We start from the raw sequence: 16,104 nt of genomic DNA, 5'->3' as shown, positions 1-16,104 counted from the left end.
TGACCTAGCAAGAAGCATTTAAATAGGGTTGAAAGAAAAACTTTATCTGAATAACACAGTATCCTTGATACCATGTCTGTATCTATCTTGGTGCCTCCACAGGAATTTGTCCCACACTTTAGAAAACTGCAGTATCTTATAAGGCTGACATTATGTTTCCCAGCCTACAAATGGAAAAACATATTTGTTAGAAAAATACTGAGCTCCACTGTGTCAGGTTATATACTAGCTGTGGAAACTCAAACAAATTAAGCAAAATGTCTAAAATTACATGATAGATAAATTACATGATAGATAAATGCAAAAAAAAATTTGAATCCAAATTTTTGGAAACTAAAGCTCATCTCTTGCAATATCTTTGCACAAGTTTCTTTATTATTCAACTTGAGAAGAAGCAGGAGGTATAGTGACTGAACTTCAAAGAGGAGGTATCTTTCATGTGCTTCGAAGGATAGGCAGTTTTTTGTTTTTATCCAAGGAAATAAATGGAACTTAAGCAGAGGAATAATCAACAGCATAACACATTTTCTCAGTTCCCAGTACTATTCTACATACTTTGTATCAATTCATTCGATCTTCACAGAGCCCTCTATTGCTGGCACTCTTATTATCTCTGTTTCATAGATTTCCAAGAAAAATGTGGCCAACGTTTTTTAAATAACTGTCTAGAGTCACAGTTAGTGATGAACTAGGGCTGTGAGTCCACACAGTCCAGCTGTAGAGCCTGCACCCTTAACCACTCCAGTAAACTCGGCTCAGCTGAGCAAGGATACAAATGCGGAAAAACACACAATAAATTGGGTTAATAGTCAGTAGAGAACAGGGCCAACATTCAGGACAGTAGCATTTTATTTGAGGCGAGGACTTCTGAAGAGCTTAAATAATTTACAAACTCATAAATCAAGACTCAGTTTTTCTGTAAAAATAAATATATAATATGGAGATTGCACTCATATAGTACATTAATCCACAACTATTGTATGGTTTCTATATTTGTAAATATACCGAAAGGAATATGAGTTTGCTAGGGCTTTCATAACAAAATACCACAGACTGACTTGGTGGCTTAAACAATAGATATTTATTTTCTCACAATTCTGGAGGCTAAGAGTTTGAGATCAATGTATCAGCACAGCTGGTTTCTTCTGAGACCTCTCTGTTTGGCTTGCAGATCAGTACCTTCTGCGTTCTTACAGGGTCTTCTCTCTATACATGTCTGTGTCCTAATTTTCTTATCAAGACTCTAGTCATATTTGATTTGGGCCAATCCTAATAATTTTAAATTAATTATTTCATTAAAGACCCTATCTCTAAATACAGTCTCATTCTGAGATATTGGGGGTTTGAACATCAACATATAAACATGGAAGTGTTGACACAATTCAGCCCATAACAAAAGAGTAATAAAAACAATGTATAAATAACTATCACCTCTAAATTCTGTTTCAAAGTTATTGATATTGTGGAGCATTTCTAGCACTAAAAATACCATTAATAAATGATTAAAGTAGTATCACATTAGCCATTTAAAGCGCTTGCACAATTTTAGAGCATAATCACACAATATTAACAAAGGTTCTCTAGTATTGCTGCTAGGCTGCTAAAATGGTGCCACCATGTGTCTACAGTATAAAATACATCTTTCAATTCACTTTTGAGGCCCATTTTTAAATTATTCTAAGTTTTTTAGACTTTTATATTTTTTCAAATTTTGAGCATAAAAATTTGATCTTTAGAAATATTTTCATATCACAAAATAGAAAGTGTATAGGGTAGAGGAGGAATCATAGAAAGAAGAGTTTGTATCACTTTGTGAAGGGCTTTGAACAGGGACGTACTAGTTAGCATTTCACCATTAATCTATGCAGAAACCATCGTAAGGAAGGAAATAACAGAATTTTTTGCTCTAGGGGGCTTTCTCTAACGATGTGTAAAATGAAAAGAAATCAAATGAGGTGATGAGAATGAAAGGGAAAGAGAGTTTTTTATTTTAATAATCTAGGTAAGACAGGCCGGGCGCGGTGGCTCACGCCTGTAATCCCAGCACTTTGGAAGGCCGAGGCGGGTGGATCACGAGGTCAGGAGATCGAGACCATCGTGGCTAACACGGTGAAACCTCGTCTCTACTAAAAACACTAAAAATTAGCCAGGCATCGTGGCGGGCGCTGTAGTCCCAGCTACTCGGGAGGCTGAGGCAGGAGAATGACGTGAACTCAGGAGGCGGAGCTTGCAGTGAGCTGAGATTGCGCCACTGCACTCCAGCCTGGGCAACACAGCTAGACTCCGTCTCAAAAAGTAATAATAATAATAATAATCTAGGTAAGACACAGTAGAGTCCTGGGTAAATCAGTGGCAGAGAATGAAGAGATGATTAGTGGCATTTTGGAGACAAATTTAACAAAATTAATTTGATGTAGAGAGAGAGAGAAGGCCAGGATAACTCCAAATTTCATCTTAAGAATGCAACCTTGAGCTGTTAGAAACTATATTAGTGTTTGTTCAAGTCTTTTGATATGTGTGTATGGGTGGGAGGGGGGAGGATGTGGATGAAATCAGTTGTGCTGAGAGTCTGTAGTTTTTATAGCCCAAGGTGGAGACTTTGCCAGTAAATGGGCTCAGAGGAACCTGGCTATAGTTAGTCAGGAAAAGTATTTTGTCAATCTTCCTATTTCTCTTATATACTTAATATTTTTTAAATTAACTTACCTTTTATATGTAAATGAATTTTTAAATAGAAAACTTTATATGATTAATATAAATCGAAACAACATAATAACCTGTTAAAAACTAACAGTATCAGCATAATGAATAAAAAATGTGATTCATTTAGAGTTGGATTTCTTTTGATTAAAAAGGGAGATTAGTCAGCATTAGAGAAGAACTGTAAAATATTAGCACCAAAATAAGGTGTTGGCTGGAACAAACAGATTCTTTTGGCAACTTTGAGCTTTCCCAGACTGAAACTCAAGGAGGCTGGAGTCATCATCTGTTTTTCTGGAGAGCATTGACTAATATAGATGCTTAGAGATAATTTTTGAAAAATATAAGTACAAATCCATATAGGCTATTCTGTTTCCTCAAGGCATGTTTCACAAAAGGGTACCCTCAAGTGTATTGAGTTCTTCTCTCTTCTTTTCTCAACAACTTTATTTCCTACCCTCTGATTTCAAAAAGTTATCTAGTACCACAGTTTTTTAAAAAATTGTTTACAGATGGTTTCCAGAACTCTAGCCCTGAATTATTTTCCCTAAACTCGATTTATAACTACCTATGAGATACTGAATATTAAAAACATCCTAACAGCAATGTTATTCTCCAGTCTACCTAAGCTAGATATACTGGTTACAATGGCTTCTCACATTACTTATTCAAGGTGCGTCACACACTGTCTGACATGCTAGGTATATATACTGGCTATTCACACACACATACACACAAAATGTATATATATATCTATAATGTGTGTATATATAAATATTTACACACACACACATATATAGCCATGCATGGCATGTACATGCATATGGAGACAGAGAGAAAGAGATCACATTTGAGATTTTAAATAATTGACTCACACAACTGTGGAAGCTAGCAAGCAAGAAATTTGTAGACCAGGATGGCAGCCTAAAAATTCAGATAAATGTTGATGTTGCACTCTTGAGTCCAAAATCTGCAGGGAATTCAAAATCTACAGGAAAACTCAGGCAGGATTCCTTCTTTAGTTTATCTTTTACCTCTCTTGTTTTACTATAAACAACAAGGAGAAACCAGGCTGCACCTTCAATACTTTGCTTAAAATTCTCCTCAGTTAAATATCCAAGTTCATCATGAATAAGTTCTTTCCACTCTATAGAACACAATTCAACCAAATTCTCTGTCACCTTTTCTTCAGTTTCCATTAACATGGATCACCTATTCTCCAGTTTCCAATAAAATGATCCTCATTTTTGTCTGATACCCCACCACCTTTAACATTTATATTTCTAGCAACATTGTTCATGATGATGTATGATCTAAGATGATAGAAGCTTTCTCTCCAGGTTTACTCTTTATGAGCTCTCCACAGACTCTCCTTTAACATCCATATTTTTTACCAACAATCTCTTCAAGGCAATTTTGGCTTTTTCTGCCATTTTCCTCAAAACTCAGTCTTTGCGCATTTCTTAAGTTCAAAACAACTTATACTTTTTAAGATATTTCTTGCTGAAGCAGCCCACTTCCTTTTGCCATCTGTATTAGTTTTCTAGGGCTTCCGCAAACTGAGTGGCTTAAACAACGGAAATCATTATTTTATAGTTCTGGAGGCTAGAGTTCAATTGGCAAGGTTGGTTTTTACTGGGAACCAGGATAGAGAATCTGTTCCATTGCCCCCTACTAGCTTCTGCTTGTTTCCTGGCAGTCTATGGCATTTCTTGGCTTGTAGCTGCATCAATCCAGTCTCTGCCATATGGTGTTCTCCCTGTGTCTCTTAACATAGTCTTCTGTCTGTGCATGTCTCTGTGTTCAAAATTTCCGTTTTTATAAAATACCAGTAATATTAAATTAGGGCCCAACCTAATGACCTCATTTTAACATGGTTATCCCTGTAAAGACCCCATTTTCATATAAGGTCACATTCTGAGGTACTGGGCATTAAGACTTCAACATATCTTTCTGGTGGGGACAGAGTTTAACCACAACAGCATCTAAGAGTTGACCTCCCGGCAGGCCCAAGGTCAGTAGCCTTCTGTCTAAATCTTGATCCTGGTTAAGAATCTGGACGAATCTCCTCTTTCAGAGCCTCAAAAATGAATCAGCCTGAGACTTTGTATCATAATTTATGGTAATTTGTAAAAATTACCTTAAAATTAGCCTTAAATCCAAAGACTTTTAATGATAATTACTTTTAAAGTATTTATGTTCAAGCAAAAACATTACCAACCCAAATACTCTGAATAGATACTTATTGGTAGTTCTTAAATGGTCATAGCAATATTTCTTTTCTGAATGCTGTCCCCAGAAACTCCATTGTTTTAGTTTTCTATTGCTTTGTAACTAATTGCCACAAATGCAGCACCTCAAACAATACAGATTTATTAGTTCACAGTTATGTAGGGCATAAGTACAGCATGGTTCATTTGGATTCTCTGCTTAGTATTTCACAAGGCTGAAATCTGGGATCTAGTCAGGCTGGACTTTTACGTGGAACCTCTAGGGTAGTATCTACTTCTGAGTTCATTCAGGCTGCTGGCAGAATTCAATTCCGTGTAGCACTGAGATACACATTTCCTAGCTGGCTGTCATCAGGGGGCAGCTCTCATCTCCTAGCGCTACTCACATTCTTTGGCACGTGGCCCTCTCCATCTTAAAGCTAGCCATGGTACATCAAATCCCCACTGAGCTTCAAATATCTCACTTCTTCTGCCTTCAGCCACCAGCCAGAGAAAATTTTCTGTTTTAAAAAGATTCATGTGGTTAGATTAAGGCACTCAGATCATCTCCCTATTTTAAAGTCAACTAACAAGTGGCCTTAATTATATGCCTTTTGCTAAGGTGACACCCAGCAACAACCACCAGACATATGGACTCAGCAAGACTTCACATGATTCCAGCATTTAGTTTCTGAGCTACCACAGATTTTGCCAAGCAGAGCAGGGAAGAGCTCTCCCCATCAGCACAGCCCAAATTGCAGATTTCTGAAAAAGATAAATGTCTCCTTGTTTAAATTCAGTAAATTTTGATGTGTTTTTGTGTGTGTGTGTGTAGCAATGACTATCTGTAACAACTTATGTACATATATTTATTTTATTCTGAGAAATTTGCGTTCATTGATTAATGTATTAGTCCATTTTCATACTGTTATAAAGAACTGCTGAGATTGGGTAATTTATAAAGGAAAGAAATTTAATTGACTCACAGTTCAGCATGGCTGAGGAGACCTCAGACAACTTACAGTTATGGAAGAAGGCAAAGGGAAAGCAAGGCACCTTCTTCACAAGGCGTCAAGAAGGAGAAGTACTGAGTGAAAGAGTGAAAAGGGAAGAGCCCCTTATAAAACCATAAGATCTCGTGAGAACTCACTCACTCTCAAGAGAATGGCACGGGGGAAACTGCCTCCATGATTCAATCACCTCCACCTGGTCTCTCCCTTTACAGATGGGGATTATGGTGATTATACCTCAAGATAAGATTTGGCTGGGGACAGAATATCATTTATTAATCATTCAATAAATATTAGCTGGATGTTTACTACATGTCAGACACTATATTAAGCCATGGGAATGCAAAAATGAAATAGGTATGGTTGTAGTACTGAGAGAATTTATGATAAATTTAAAAAGCCATTTTATAAAAGATAATCATATTACAATGTTATAATTTTTATGATAGAATTTTCAATAAAGTATTATAAAGGAACAGAGAAGAGGCCTCTTCTACAGCCAGATAGTGGTGGTATCAGGAAAGTCTTTGCATGGTGGGTGACAATAATACTTAGTTATACACATTAATAAAGAACTTGCTATGTGCCAGGTGCTCTTCTAAGCACTTTGTAAATATCTCAATTAATCCTCAAAACAACATTATAAATAAGTATTATTGCCCCTGTTTTACAGATAGGGCAATTGAGCTTGGGCCGGTTGAATAACTTGACTGAGTTCATGCAGGTCGTATGTAGTGAAGGGGCATTTAAACACCACTCTGGCAGATTTGAAAACTATTCCCTTGACCACAGAGTTATGTCCCTAACTTGGGGGCAAAGGATAAGTCAGATTCAACCAGGCTGAGATGAAAGTAAGGTGTGACGTTCTAGATGGAAGATCCTACGTGAGCAGAGGCATGATATATGCAGGAAACAGCCAGCACTTTTAGGTTGCAGGAATTTAGAGTTTGGCAAGAAGTGAAGTTGAAAAAGAAATTAGGAACCAGACCAGGGAACGAGGAGCTTGGATTTCATGTTCCTGGTAATTGTAGCCACTGCAAGGTTAGAAAGATTTTACACAGAGGAGTAGCGTAGCAATTTTGTGTCTCATTTAGATCATTTTCACAGCTGCTTGGAGGCAGGGAATAAATTAGTTTCAAGAGATAAATGATGGCAACCTACATGGGGACAGTGATACTGTGTCTGCAGAAGAAATGAATTTGACTGGATGGTAAATTTATCCTGCCTTAATATAGAATATGAAAAAAGCAATTGCATATTACAAACCCAGAGTAAAGAAAATTTTTGCATTTCACACTTGAAATGTATCATCTGATTCCTGGTTTCCATTATGCCTCCATTATCATCTATTAGTTAAAAAAATTAAGCAGGGCAGGGGAGAGGGAATATTTTGTTTAGTTTTGCACTGTGGAGACTTGTGTCATTCTTGTCAGATGAAGACCAATTCAACTACTTTCTAAGCTTGTTGTTATATTATTCTAAAACAAAAATCTCAAAGCAAAGTTTATTGTTCTCCAATTCTTTAGTGAATCTTACTGATTCAGGAAGTTAGTCATAACTGAAAATGACTTGTCTCTGGCATCCTTCCTTTTGCTCTTTGGCATGTACAGAAACTTGTTTGATGCCTTAGCTTAAAGTCTTTAACCTGGAGAAATGATATGCTACTCATGAACCAAAGTATATCACACAGGAAAGGCTTGGCTATTTTTCCACCCGTCAGGTAACTTTCATAAACCCCAAGGCAATGCCCAGGCAATGGCCGTGGCCTTTGTACTGTCATATATTTGGGAACACACATATTCACTCATACATCTTTCAAAGGTGTGTCTTCTTCAGAAGGCTATGTCGTGGAGCATCGGTATTTCCTTTAGGAGCACATCATTAAGAGTTTTGATAGATTTCACTATTAAAAATAAAATATTATAGTATTAATGTGTGATTTTTATCACAATAAAATACTAGGAAGGATAAGATTAGAAGTGTTTAAATTGAAAAATATCCTGACCCAACATATACAACAATAGCTAAATAAAAGGCATCAATTAAAGACACTTTGGAGGCTGTGGGGTGCAGTGGCTCATGCCTGTAATCCCAGTGATTTGGAAGGCAGAGGCAAGAGGATTCCTTGAGACCAGGAGTTCAGAGCTTCAGTGAGCTCTGATTGTGCCGCTGCACTCTAGCCTAGGTAATGGAGTGAGTCACTCTATCTCTTGGTGGAGGGAGATGCTTTGGTTGTTAGCTATGTTTTTACAGGAAGGTGTATTATAAACTTTAAGTTACAATTATACAGCTTAACCTGGTCTAAACAAGCAGTTCTATTGGCTTATATCACTGCCAAGTCTCTTTAAGCCTTGGATTTATCAGGATCACAGGTCTGTTTCTCTGATAGTCCATTGGTTCTGCCTTCCTCCATATTTGGTTTATTTTTATCTTACATCCTTAAAAAATGCGTGTCAGAAGCAATTGAAACACTGTTTTTTCTTATTGAGATACAGGGAGAGAGCATCAGTTTTCACAATTAGTGAAATAATCTTTTTTTGAGGTGTTGATCTGGATCTACTAGTAGCATTATGGAAGAAATTCTGATGTGAGCCCCGGGGCTCTTACACAATGTCGGCAGGGTGTTCCCCAAAAGGAAAACTGGGTGCTGACAGGAAATGAGAAGGTGGATTGGATATTGAGTAGCAATAAATGTCCATTACAAGGATTAAAGGATTCTTAAGCAACCCGGAAGAGTACATTTCTAAGTGCACAATGCCAAGGAAAATAAGGAAATTAATTTTCCTGTGACTTTGTCTTTTTAAAAAATTACTTTAGCATCTATTTCTTACCTGTGTTATTTTTTGCTTCTCTGACATTTTGTATTCTTATGTGAGTCATTATTTGCATAGTACTGATCAATTTTTTTCTCTAATAATTCCTCCTATTTTTGTCACTAGTTTTAGATTTATTAAACACCTCACAGTAGTATTCATTCATTTGAAAGTGAATTATCTTAGAAAAACATCATTTCCGTTTGTGCTTGTTTCTCTATGGCAGTTGTGGAATTTAATATTTATTTATGCTCACAAGGAAGGGAATTGTAACATGTTGAATAAAGAATATGAGAAATAAACACTTTTAATGTTGCACTAGGAACATGAAAAAAAAGAGAACTTTTCTTTTTAAGGCCTAAAAGGATTTATTCAAAAGAATCCCTGCAGAATCTAGTAGATTCGAGTTTGCAATAAAATGTCTTAGCAGAAATTTTTGGCACATTTAGGCAGTATACCAAGCAGCTTTGCAACACAGATAATGTCTCCCATCAGAAGCTTCTGCTGTGGCCATGTTAAAAATATAAATATTTTTAGGTACGCTTACAGTACTTGAAATATTTCAGTAGATATAGGGGGTGTCCTTATATACCATATAATCCAAAAATATAATTTTATTGCTTAGAAAACTGACATGCAGAGAAACTAAGTAAATTGCCATAGGTCACACAGCAGGAATAAGAGAGCTTACATTATAACAGAAATACAATGCTAGCCTACAAGTTTACAGAAGTTATTATTAGGGAAATCTCTGTGACAAAACTTGATGGCTATCTTAGTGGAAAAATTTGATGATGTTTTCCCCTTGGAAAAAGATGAGCTGGAGGCCCTCTGGTACCATGTTAAGTTTTGTTATATGGATGTAATGTCTCCCATTTTCCTTCTTTGTCATAATAGATGATTTAGAGAGAAATAGCATGAGCATAATACATCAAGAGAAGACATTAGAATGGCTACAGGTTTGTCTTGTCAGGTAAATTATCTGGTTTTCTTAGAAAATGAGAATTGCACCATGTTGACATGACATATGTGAGGATAAGATCTTATACATTTAATTAGTTTTTTAAAAGATTTTGGTGTCAAGACATATTTAAGTTTGTCAGTTTTACTGACGAGTTATTGTATTAGTTACCTACTACTACAGAACAGCACACATTTTTTATCTTATAGTTTCTTTGGGTCAGGAAACTGGGCATGGCTGAACTGGGTTCTCTGCTATACAACCTATCACAAGGCTGCAATTGAGATATCAGACAAAGATCCACAGTCTCATCTGAAGACACAACTGAGAAAGGATTCTTTTCCATGCTCATTCAGTGATTTGGGGCTGTATTCAGATCCTGTGGTCTGATGGACTGAGGACCTCATTTTCTACCCATCCGTGAGAAATGGGTTGGGTAGAAAGTGAGGCCTCCCTTATTTCCATGCCACCTGGGTCTCTCCCATATTTTAGCTTGCTTCATCAAAGTGTGCAAGCCACAAAGGCAATAGAGTCTGCTAACAATATAGAAGTCATAATATTTTTCATTTAATCACAGAAATGGCATCCCATTATCTTTTCCATATTTTATTGGTTAAAATCAAGTAATCAAGACTATGCTTAAGGGGAGGGGATCACACAAGAGCATGAATACCAGGATGCTGGGATTATTGGTGACCACATCGGAACCTGCCTATCACAGGTAGAAAACAACCTTTCCAATAAAGACTGTCAGTAAAACTATTAATATTATTCTGTGAAAACCACAGTGTGATATCCACAGCCTAAAATTCACAGCCTAAAAACATTCTCAGCAATAGATTTTTATATAGAAACACTGATGCAATGGAAAGAAAAAAAGATTTTAAGCTAGTTTTGCTATATTTAAAGCTACATAACATACTTAAGCAATAAAACAATGCCAGAAACTATTTATAACCCAAAACTTCTTATTTCCCCAGTCAAAAACAATCAAACATATGTAATAATAAAATTTGAAATACATCTTTTTAATATAAATATTTGTCTTTAATAGATAGTAAGCAATTAATTTGTCAGTTTTGTTAATTGCTGTGATTTATCACTGTTTTTCGTTCCACAATATGTATATGTATGTGTGTGTATACACACACACAAATAAAACAAGCTCATGTAAGTCATAAAGATCATTACATCATTTGATACATTTTACATCATTTGATAAATATATTTAAAATAGTCCTGAAAATCAATTCTGCCACATGAATTTGAGAGTATATGTCTTATTAGTCCCATTTTTGAATGTCTGCTGTGAACATAATACTGTATATTTCATTTATCATTTAATCAATTTATTAGTTAATCAGAATAGAAATAAATTTATATGTATATCTTATTTTTAATAAAATGCTAATAGTAAATGACTATGAAAAGAGAATCTATTGATAGGGGTTTTCCTATGTTATATGATATTTTCAAGTATATTACGCTGATAAAATATTAAGAAAGCCTCTTACACAGAGATTTCATTCTAAATAGATACACATTAATTTTGACAAGGTAAAAAAAGTGAGGTTAAAAAAAGTTGTCTTGTTTGAGTATTCATTAATTCAACAAACCTTTATTGAACATTTATTGCATCTCAGGAACTGTGCTAGGTGCTATGAAGAATGTAAGAATGCAGTTAAATGCTCAAGTGAATCACCAGAATAGAATATAAGCCTTCTATATAATTATAGTAGATGGTAAGTGATGGCAACAATGAGATATCTAAAAGAAAGATTTTCAACTTAAAGCAGTGATTGCCTATGATATAATTGGACTATATGATATGCTGTGTTTCACCCTAACTAGTGCTAACCAGCTGAAGCTTTTAAGCAATCATGAACATTGAACATTCACCAACTATGGCTGATAAATGAATGTGAATTTTGAGTGACTCCAGGATTTTGGACCATTACTGAACACAATTGAAGACTCTTTCTCTTTTTTTTATTTCAAAAAGTATTTTAATTGTTCAAAATAGCACAAAACGACATCGCGCTATGGTAATACTGAGTCACAGGGATTACTCTACAATAGTGAACGGTGTACTCTTCTCAGAAACGAGAAATCAAAGGGCGCGCGGGAGAAGAGATGGGGTAAAACAACAGGACCAGGTGAGTGGGCTGCAAGGTGAATAAACGTGATATTTTCCACAGCGAAATATACTATAATACAACAAACCAGAGGCCCTGGATGACACAGGCCGCTGCATCTCCAGGCAGAGTTTAGTGTTTGCGGGGTGGGGGGTGGGGGTTGGGCGCTGAAAAGATTAGCTGCTCAGTTCAAATCCTTCTGACTTGTTCGCAAGCCTTGCTCCTTGCCAGAAGCTCGGGGTGTGGGGCAGAAAACTCCGAGCAGATCCCACAACCCCGGATCCTGGCCTGGCCCGGGTTCCATGCTGCACATTCACGCAGCAGCTGCTGCTGCTGTTGGACTGCTCCGTTGCCCTAGCCTCCCTTGTGGGTGACATTACACAGTCGCCCTCCCAGGCTGCCTCCAAGGACGCCTGGTTCTCCCCCATTCTCCACTCTTTCCATGACAGTTTGGGGGAGGCGGCGCAGTGGCTGCGCAGAAAGCAGCAGCCCAGTGTGGGAGGTGGCACCAGTAGTGCTGAGGGACGGGGCGTGGAGACAGCTGTGAACCCAAGACAAGGAGCCCCCAGCCCACCCTCAAGCTCCCCCAGGCTCTACCCTTTAGGTGCGAAGTTATCGCCCATGGGGAATGAGCTGTCCTTCCTTTGTTCCAGCGGCCTGAGGACAGGCAAAGGCGCAGAGGGTAGGGGCAAGCAACAGGAAGTTGGGCTGGCAGGCAAACAGCAGGCCTCACGTGGCAGATTCCATACCTCTCCTGCCATGGCTGGCCCCAGCTTTTCCTCCAGAAAGATCCCTGCCAAGAATTAGCCAAGGAGAAAAAAGAAAAACACACAAACAACACACACACACACACACAAAGAAAAAAGATTACACATTCTGTACACAGCTAACAACAACAAAAAAGGGTCAAAACCTCACATGCTAAAATTACAATGGAAGTGTGAGCTTCACTCTTTCTTAACAGGTGAACAGTGGGGCTTGTTTTAACTAACCTTGTACGGACTTACGGACTGGTAGTCCTATCCAGAAAGCAAACATCAAGTATTCATTAGCATAACCATCACAAACTCTCACTACATCCCTATTACATAATACTGCCTAAAGTTTTTCCCTCAGAAAACTGCTCCTTCAATTCTTCTCTGGTGTGTGTTCTCTTGCCTGGCAAATCAATAAACTCTGTGCTCACTTTGATGATCACAATAGTGTTTCTGGTCTTTCCTTTATTAGTCACCATCTGAGTTTTGGCAATTAGAGCAACCGCATTAATCACTTAAAACCTAAAATCTATAGGAGATGAGTTCAAGAATATCCAAACCCACTTAAAGAAGAAAGAATAATGTATAGTAGTTCCCTCTTACACGTGGTTTCTCTTTCCAAGTGTCATAGTTCATTTGTGTCGCTATGAAGGAATAGCTGAGGTTGGGTAATTTATAAAGAAAATAGGTTTATTTGGCTCACCGTTCTGCATGCTGTGCAAGTAGCACAGCACCAGCATGTATGTCAGATGAGAGCTTCAGGCTGCTTTTGTTCATGGCAGAAGGCAAAAGGGAACTGGTGTGTACAGATCATATGGTGAGAGAGGAAGCAAGAGAGAGCGGGGAGGGAGGAGCCAGGCTGTTTTTCACAATCAGTTCTCACAGGAATTAATAGATCAAGAACTCACTCATTACTGTAAGGACAGCACCAAGCAGTTCATGAGAGATCCACCCCAGGACCCAAACACTTCCCAGTAGGCCCCACCTCCAACATTGGGATCACATTTCAAATGAGGTTTGAGGGGACAAATATCCAGACCATAGCAAGCATACAGTTTCAGTTACCTGTGGTCAACTGTGTGCCAAAAGCATTAAATGGAAAATTCCAGAAATAAACAATTCATAAGTTGTAAGTTGAGTGTCATTCTGAGTAGCATGATGAAGTCTTGCCCTGTCCTGCTCTGTCCTTCTGCTCCACTGTGCCCAGGACATGAATCATCCCTTTGTCCAAAGTATCCACACCATGTTTGCTCTTTGCCCATTAGTCACTTAAGTAGCCTTCTTGGTTATCAAATCAACAAAAAGAAGGGTGAGTACAGTACAATAAGATATTTTGAGAGAAAGAGAGAGAGACCACATTTACATAACTGCTATTACAGCATATTGTTATAATTGTTCTATTATTGTTAGTCTCTTACTGTACCTAATTTATACGTTAAACTTTATCATAGGTATGTATGTATAGGAAGAAACAGTATATATAGGGTTCCATACTATCTGTGGTTTCTTAGGCACCCACTAGGGGTCTTGTAATGTATCCCATAAGGATGAGGGGTACTGCTGTACAGAACAGCACAACAGTTGGTATAATGTAACAAATGGTTTCAATATAACTGAAGAAAAGCACATGTTCATCAGAAGGAAGATAAATCAGAAACAAACAAGAAAGAAAGAGCATTAAAGAGAAAAAGGCTGACAGTACCTCTGTAGGATTCAAAGTTGTGAGTGCCTTGAACCAAGAACTCTATCTGCTGGCTAGAGATGGTGACAGATAAAAACCAATTAACTTGGTAATTAAAGACCAAGTCCCCATTCTCTGATTCCACCTCACTAAGTAATATTCCTGTTAATCTTTTTTCTTCCACATGGATTTATCTGCAACACTTTTGGTTGAATGTACATTTTTATGTTAGGAATTTGAAGGTTTAAGCCCAATAATTCTCACCTCCCAATGAATGCTGTCTCCTCCCTGGTGGGAAATATATAAGATTAAAAAATTATGCTGCTTTTTATTGTTGTTAAGAAGATGACATAAAGAGACATGTGTACCCTTTACAAGGGATGACAAATGCATATTGCAACAAATGGAACCTGTAGTACTTGCAAACTTTGTGTAAGAAATTTTACTATTTACAAATCTTACCAACTTCTATCCAAAGAACAGAGATGCTCAGTCAATTTGCTGCCTCCCTATTTGAGTTTCTTATGGATCAATTTATAATCCACTTCACAACCAGTGTTTCTTCCCAAGACAGGCCCTTTTCTACGTTAGACCCCCTGTGTGGTTCTTGTAGGATGTTAATATTTCTAAAACCCTTGTTGTTTAACTGAGAGGGTTCACAAGATGTGCCCATGAGATATTTAGAAGCCCGGCTAAGTATACCCTTACATCTGTCTGAAGTCTTAACAAATGGTTTATAGTCACAACCTTCAGTTTATCTCTGAGCCCATACTTTAATGGTGGCATCCTAAGTTTTATCTTTGTGCTGAAGCCATTTTCTACTTTGGAGAATTTTTGCTAAGAGAGACTAAGGTTGGAAAACTATTCTGTTTTCAAATCAAGCAAGTCCTGGCCTTTTTAAATTTCCTCTAAATTCCACTTAGAATCTTAACAGTTCCTGCTTTAGTTTTTGTATTTTAGTCTCCTTATATGTTCTTATAAGTTGCTGCAAGAAACCGGTTGGCATTTTCTGTATTTTGTCTGGAAAGTTCCCTTGTCTATTTTTCACATTAACCTGGGCACCAGTATTGCCAAACTTTTTGGTACTACATAAAATAAGTCTCAATTTTTTCCATCCTACAAAAACATATTTTTCACTCTCCTTCAAATCCTAAGCCTGGGACCCTTTGAGCTTCCACTAATAGTCCCCTTGGGGTGTTTCCATCTTTTTCCTACTACTTGGTCTCAGATGCAATGTAACATTTTCAAAAACCAATTCCATTCACCAAATGTGTTCTAGTTATTTACTGCTATATCACAAACCACTCCAAAATGTAGTGACTCACAACAATCATTCCTTTTGTGTATTCATCTGCAGTTTGGGAAAGTCAGGCAGGAATGACTTGTTTCTGTGATGTCTGTGGCCTCAACTGGGATGACTCGACCAGCTGGGGACTTGAAAATCGGGCATCTCTTTCTCTCTCATCTTGTAGTCACAGTCTCTCCATGTGGTCTCCCCATACAGCCTCTTCAGCATCACAATCTCAGGTACTTATTACATGGCAGTCGGACTCAAAGAACAAGTGTTCCAAGGGACCCAGGCAAAAGCTAAATAGCTTCTTATCCAACCTTGAAAGTCTGAGAACGTTGCTTCCTCCACATTTTATTGGTCAAGCAAGTCACTAAGGCCAGCCTATATTCAAGGTGAAGGAAATTACATCCCTTTTTAAAAAGGAGTATCAAAGAATGTGTAGCTATCTTTAATCTGGCTCAAATTGCAAAGTGTTCAATTGCATAGGTGTATCATGATTTAATTAACTAGTCCTCTAATATTAGACATGCAGGTCACTGTAAGGTTCG

General features: G+C 37.5%; 1 protein-coding gene across 1 annotated transcript in view, besides 2 other annotated features; it reads left to right on the top strand.

Moving 5' to 3' along the window:
• Window positions 11,784-12,283: an enhancer, noted in NCBI's record as "H3K4me1 hESC enhancer chr4:44665975-44666474 (GRCh37/hg19 assembly coordinates)". NCBI's record gives its function as "activates a minimal SCP1, AML or CMV promoter by ChIP-STARR-seq in primed H9 embryonic stem cells {active_cell/tissue: H9 hESC(primed)}" and the evidence as "EXISTENCE:reporter gene assay evidence [ECO:0000049][PMID:30033119]".
• Window positions 12,284-12,785: an enhancer, noted in NCBI's record as "H3K4me1 hESC enhancer chr4:44665473-44665974 (GRCh37/hg19 assembly coordinates)". NCBI's record gives its function as "activates a minimal SCP1, AML or CMV promoter by ChIP-STARR-seq in primed H9 embryonic stem cells {active_cell/tissue: H9 hESC(primed)}" and the evidence as "EXISTENCE:reporter gene assay evidence [ECO:0000049][PMID:30033119]".
• Window positions 14,042-16,104, top strand: part of YIPF7 (Yip1 domain family member 7) — a 40,112-nt gene continuing 38,049 nt past the window's right edge. Inside the window, exon 1 of the mRNA XM_047450094.1 lies at window positions 14,042-15,792. Coding sequence (XP_047306050.1) covers window positions 15,659-15,792 — 134 coding nt within the window. The 5' untranslated portion in view covers window positions 14,042-15,658. The remainder of the gene's footprint in view (window positions 15,793-16,104) is intronic.

This window comes from Homo sapiens, chromosome 4 (assembly GCF_000001405.40).
Source record: "Homo sapiens chromosome 4, GRCh38.p14 Primary Assembly".
In the NCBI taxonomy this organism is placed as follows: Eukaryota; Metazoa; Chordata; class Mammalia; order Primates; family Hominidae; genus Homo; species Homo sapiens.
The sequence above is the reverse complement of the archived record's forward strand: the minus strand, read 5'-3'. Positions and strand labels throughout refer to the sequence as shown.